Here is a 5959-nt window from a genome sequence, read left to right on the forward strand (position 1 = left end):
GCTCACAACCACCTTATGGGGAAGGTGCTAGGCAGGCAGGGAGGAGGAAATGGAAAGGGAAAGGAAAAGGGAAAAGAGCGGGGGAAGAAAGGAGCAAGAAAAAGTCAATGCAATTCGGCAATTATTTGTTAAGTGCTAACTGTATGTCAGGGTCTGGTAATCAACAGAACAGAGGAGGGTATAATGAAGAGGGGATATAGGTAGAGAAAAGAGGATGAGTGGGAAGAGGAGGAGGTTGGAGAGGAGGAAAGGAAAGGAGAAATAATGAAGACAAGAGAAAAGCAAGCCATGCACATGGAGGGCAATGGTAAGAGGAGAAACCTTTGCCACAACCTCAAGGGTTGGCCGCACTGTCTGGGCTGAGGCAGAGGCTGCTTTCTCCTGGCCCAGTCTTTTACCCATTGTTACCACGAGGTTGGCACAGCTTCCACACAGTCCTTTAATAAGCCAGCTCTGACCCTGGCGACATTTGGCCTGGTACAGCTCAAGGCAGGTAGCCTACACCCTGGCCTAGCCAGGCCTTTCCCTAGCTCACAAAGGTCAACTTCATAACGTGGAGCGTGAGCTTTTACCATGTTCTCAGAGAATCTGCCTCTTAGTATTTCTTTTTCTAAAGGCTTCATTGACCCATGTATCCCTATTGAGTCTTCAAGCACTATTTGACAGAAGGGCTTGTTTTTATCTGACTGCTCCCTGCAATATTACTTTTCCACTAAGTTTGCCAGAGGTACCCCTTTCTAACATTTGCTACCTGTTCGGATGGTCACCTCATGTCACATTTTTCTCTTCCTGTTCCGCCCACCCTCAGCCCTTGTCGGAAAGGACCCTTTCGGCCTCTCTAATCACCAGAAGGGACTGCCAGGGCCTTGTGCTGATGACACTCCCACCCTCCGTCAGCCTCCTCCACTAGCTGATAAATGGCACCAGCCATGCTGTCTCTCTGGTTTTTAGGGGTCCCAAGCAAGGTACATTGCTGCTGCTGCCCAGCCCCTGCCATACCCCAGACCCACCTCAGTCCTGACTTAATGCAGGTAGCTTCCCAGATGCATTGAGATGCCAGGACTTGGAAGGTGGGACTCGATCGCAGCAGACACTGGCCCTGGAGACATATTCTTACAGTCCAGAGAGGAAGGACAGTCTGAGCAAACCCCACCCTTTCACAGCCACTCAGTTCCCTTTTTTTGCTTCCTGACCTAAACCAATGTCTTTTTTTCTTCTCAGCAGCATGCTATCTGGTTCCCTGCTGCCGTCCCTATTCCACCCCCTCAACTGTCCCCGCCCTTCATTTGCTTGGGACCTCTGACACTACTATCTTGAGTCTATCTTTGAAAGAACCTTTCTCAACATGACTGGGGCCACTGAGACTCTAGATGGGGCTGGCCTGAGCAGACAGGTCATCAAGCTATCCTCCCAGAGGTAAAGGGACAACATACCTAAAGTACTATGAAGACAGTCAGCACAGGGAGAGGGGCTTACAGGAAAGAGGAGAGATGCTGGGGGCTGGCAGACACAGAGCAAAGAGACTGGCCAGGAAGAGCGTTTTTCGAGTCTCCTGTCCTCCGGGGCAGAGGAGTCTCAGGGACACACAGTTGAACTTGATAGTGAAGGGACCCCAAAGGACAAAACAAGACAGAGGTAGAGACAAGACTTCCCCGTGCTGAGTCATTTTCTAAGAAAGCATTTTTCCCCTACAGATAAAAATGTCGGAATATAAGCCCACAGAAATACTTGTGCCCTTCCCCATTTTCTGTGGATGTTGACTTTCTCCATTTAAGATTTGGCCTCAGGGATTAACTCTCAATGTCCACCTTTCTCTTGAGTCCTGTAAACCGGTAAAGCAGACTAGGTATGTCACTTGAAGCCTGGAGGTTTTCTCAGGGGCCCCCTACATTATGCTCCAACTGCAATGATTCCCCCAGGGATTCTCCTAGGAAATGCAGCCAGTATTGAATGCAGACCATGATGGTGGAGCCCCTGCTGACTGATCTGCCTGCCCACCTTGACACCTCGGGCACTGCCATATTTCCTTGCCCCAAGGCACTGTATCCTAATGTAGAAACAGATCACAGGTCCCACTACAATTTCATCCGAAGTTTTAAGTCAACAGGACCTTATTTTTTTTTCTTTATTTTGTCTAAAAAACAAACAAACAAGCAAACAAAAAAAATGGGGTATATGTGCAGAAGGTGCAAGTTTGTTACATAGGTATATGTGTGACATGGTGATTTGCTGCACCTATTGACCCATCCTCTAAGATCCCTCCCCTCACCCCCAAGCCCCAACAGGCCCTGGGACCTTTTTTTTTTTTTTTTTTTTTTGAGACAGGGTCTTGCTCTGAAGCCCAGGTTGGAGTGCAGTGGCGTGATCATGGCTCACTGCAGCCTCCACCTCCTGGGCTCAAGTGATCCTCTCACCTCAGTCACCCTAGTACCTGGGACTATAGGCACACATCACTGTGCTGGGCTAATTTTTCTACTTTTTGTAGAGATGGGGTTTCACTATGTTGCCCAGGCTGGTCTCAAACTCCTGGGCTCAAGCGATACTCCTGCCTTGGCCTCCCAAAATGCAGGGATTACAGGAGTGAGCCACCTCTCCCAGCCATCAACAGGACTTTAAATAAAAACATTTAAAGTATTTGTAGACTGATGATAGAGTGGTTGATACTCACATTTGCACAAGACAGATGGACAGCATGTGTTGTATGATTGCCTTACTTTATTGACAACGTCTATCCTTTCGCTAGTCACCCCCAATAGCTGTTCCACTCACCTGCCTGAGGGTTGGCCACAGGCATTCATCTTCCCTCCTCTTTTCTTCAGTTTTTTTTTTTTTTGAGACGGAGTCTTGCCCTGTCGCCCAGGCTGGAGTGCAGTGGCATGATCTCGGCTCACTGCAAGCTCCACCTCCCGGGTTCACGCCATTGTCCTGCCTCAGTCTCCTGAGTAGTTGGGACTACAGGTGCCTGCCACCACGCCTGGCTAATTTTTTGTATTTTTAGTAGAGACGGGGTTTCACCATGTTAGCCAGGATGGTCTCGATCTCCTGACCTCGTGATCCACCCGCCTCAGCTTCCCAAAGTGCTGGGATTACATGCGTGAGCCACCGTGCCCAGGCTCTTTTCTTCAGTCTTATGCCACTTGTTGTCACATGCCCTGTCCTTTCTCAAGATCCATCTTGGGGTGGGGACTGGGAGGTGATAGGCATCCAATGGGAGAGCTAAACAAGAGAGAGAGAGGAGCACAAGGGAAAAGAGCAAGTAGACGTAGGCTTTTCTTCACCCTCTGCCCACGACCACTCCCCTAGCACACTCATCCATACTGACAGAAAGACTGTACTCAGATAGTGCAAATAAACAGCTGAGTGTCACCTGAAGAGATTCCCAATGCAATATAAGGTTCTATTCTTGGTGCTATCCTGTTCAGCATTTTTATTGATCATCTTTGAGGAAAATATAAAAAGTAGCCCGGTTAGTCTATGAATGGTGCAAGGCTTTGTGTGCTAGACTGGATGACAGAAGAGGGCAATTAGTTCCCAAAAAGATCTTGATCACCTGGTGTGAGAAGCCAAATTCCACAAAGTGTATTTTACCAGGGCTAAAGGTGATGTCTCATAATTGGGCCCCAAATTTGAACTTCAAATGACTCCAGGAGAAAGTGGAGTAGCAGTAGCATTTGTGAAAATGGTTCAGGGGTTTTTGCTGATAGTAATCAAAAGGCATGTCATCAGTTAACATGGCTTCCAGAAAAGCCAAGGTGACATTGAGGCTTCCTTATGGAAGTAAAATATCTAGACAGAGGAAGGTAACATGCCACTTACTCTGCAAAGCCAGACCACACCTAGAGTCCTGCATTCAGTTCTGAGTGCCTCGTCTTAGGGGAAATTAATGAGCAGGAGCATGTCCAAAACAGAGAACAGCTCAAGCGATCCTCCCACCTCGGTGTCAGCATTGGTGTACAAACTTTCACTTATAGGATGTATAAGCTCTGGGGATCTAATGTGCAATATAGTGACCATAGTTAATAATACTGTATTATTGAAATTTGATAAGAGAGCAGATTTTAAGTGTCCTCACCACCCCCATGGTAACTATGGATGGTGATGGATGATAGATGTGTTAATCAATTTGACTGTGGTAATCATTACACAGTGTATACACATATCAAATCATCATGTTGTACACCTTGAATATAAACAATTTTTGTCAATTAAATATTTTTAAGTAAACAAAAACAAGCAAAACCCCCACAAAGCCACATAACACCAGATATGATAGAAAGAACTAAGGTTGATTAAATGAAGAGGGGCCATGTTCACGGTCTTCATATTTCCATGTTACTAACATAAACCCCTAAAGGCCAGTGAGATTGCTTAAGAATCTGGAAAGAAAAAGAAAATGCTGGAAGTTTGGCAAAGAAATTTTCAGGAAATGTAGCAGGTAGTGGTAATATATTTATTATCTCATTCCCAGAGACCACCCAACAAAAAAGGGGGTGATCAGAGTGTCAGCTCAGGTCCCACGCGTGTTCCTGGAGGGTTGTGCAAGCAAGATACCCCAGACTCTCACGGTTCTTCAGCCCCTATTCCACTGCCACCTCCTCCTGTGTCTCAGCCCAATTCTGTCTCCTCACCATCCTCTACACTGCAGATGCCCCTGCTTCCTTTGTATGATGTAGTGGTTAAGTGCAAGGCTATAGTGTTAGACTACCTAGGATCAAATTCCAGCTCCACAAAAAAATAACAACCTGTGTGACTTCAGGTAAGTAAACTTAACATCTCTTGTGCCTCAGTTTCCTCACCTGTTAAATACTAATACTGGTATATACCTCCTGGGGTTGCTGTCAGGATTAAAAGGGGTAGTATGTAAGGTGGTTAGGAGAATGCCTGGCATATAGTAAGTGCGCCATAATTTTTTTAGCTATTATAATTACCAGGCCACAACAGCAATATTTTATAATGTTAAAGGAACGCGGGCTCTAGAGTCAGTCTACTTGGGTTTGTATCCTAGATTCACTAAATACCGTTGACATTGGGCAAATCGTTTAACATCCTACAGCCTCAATTTCTTAATCTGTAAAATGAGAATAATAGTACCACCTGTCTCCTAGAATTATTGTGAGAATTGTATGACACAATCTATTTAAAATGTTTAGCACCCTGAAGTCTTTCTATGCTGGACTCTCTTGAGACCTAGTATATGCCTTCTGCCAGGTTTGCAAGGAAGGGAAGAGCCGCTAGGTACTTTCTACTTCTAGGCTTGATGATTGCTATTACAGGAGCCAAACAATTTCATTGTCACTTTTCAGAACCTAGAGCTGCTGACTTACTCCCTCAACAGAAGGGTGCTGCTTTAATGCCAATCATTGTTCCTTTTCTTCAAAGTACTTAGTTCATAATTGCACATTTATAAGCCTATTAGATTACTGTACCTCTCCCCCGGAACAGTGCCTGCCACATAATGGGCATCCAATAACCATTTGTTGAATGGACCAACTGGCCATGTGATAGATGAACTGGAACAATTGGCTCCCTCCAGGTCTTCATTGAATTAGCAGTTTGCTGCGAAAGGTGTTCCCAGTGACCTTGAGGTGGAACAGGAATGGAACGTGGAGGTGGAGGACCCCTTCATTCGACCCTAGTCCTGGCTTCCCTCGGGGACGGGGAGGCCAGAGGATCTGGGAAAAACACTGCTCCCTTCACTGAACGCCACTACGTAGCAGAGTCCACCAAAAGAGATAAAGTGACGAAACGTTGAAAGCTGCGGGGCGGGAGGAAGTCGGGGTGAGTGGACCACCCTTTAGGCGGAGTCCTTCCTTAAGCTCCCGCCCGCGGCTCCGAACTGAGTCCTCTCAGCCGCCCGAGGGCGCTGCGCTGAGCCTTACACTCTATGATTGCTCCTACCGACTCCCATGAGGAAGTGCGATCGGGAACCTCCTATATACTTCCGTTTGCCTCGCGGTTT

General features: G+C 46.7%; 1 protein-coding gene across 3 annotated transcripts in view, besides 3 other annotated features; it reads right to left on the minus strand.

Annotated features, from left to right (window-relative positions):
- BTK (Bruton tyrosine kinase) overlaps positions 1-5745 on the minus strand; it is a 41347-nt gene extending 35602 nt beyond the window's left edge. For 2 of the 3 annotated variants that reach the window (NM_000061.3, NM_001287345.2), the window contains exon 1: positions 1011-1140. Coding sequence is in view for 1 of the 3 variants with exons in the window: in NM_001287344.2 (NP_001274273.1) it covers positions 5427-5498 (72 nt within the window). In the remaining 2 variants the exon portion in view is untranslated. Of the gene's footprint in view, positions 1-1010; positions 1141-5426 lie in introns of those variants that run through there. The other variant, NM_001287344.2, reaches the window with a different exon arrangement.
- Positions 407-626: an enhancer, noted in NCBI's record as "active region_29809". NCBI's record gives its function as "activates an Ori minimal core promoter by ATAC-STARR-seq in GM12878 lymphoblastoid cells {active_cell/tissue: GM12878}" and the evidence as "EXISTENCE:reporter gene assay evidence [ECO:0000049][PMID:35858748]".
- Positions 5427-5486: an enhancer, noted in NCBI's record as "active region_29810". NCBI's record gives its function as "activates an Ori minimal core promoter by ATAC-STARR-seq in GM12878 lymphoblastoid cells {active_cell/tissue: GM12878}" and the evidence as "EXISTENCE:reporter gene assay evidence [ECO:0000049][PMID:35858748]".
- Positions 5497-5656: an enhancer, noted in NCBI's record as "active region_29811". NCBI's record gives its function as "activates an Ori minimal core promoter by ATAC-STARR-seq in GM12878 lymphoblastoid cells {active_cell/tissue: GM12878}" and the evidence as "EXISTENCE:reporter gene assay evidence [ECO:0000049][PMID:35858748]".

The sequence above is a fragment of the Homo sapiens genome, chromosome X (genome assembly GCF_000001405.40).
Source record: "Homo sapiens chromosome X, GRCh38.p14 Primary Assembly".
Taxonomy (NCBI): Eukaryota; Metazoa; Chordata; class Mammalia; order Primates; family Hominidae; genus Homo; species Homo sapiens.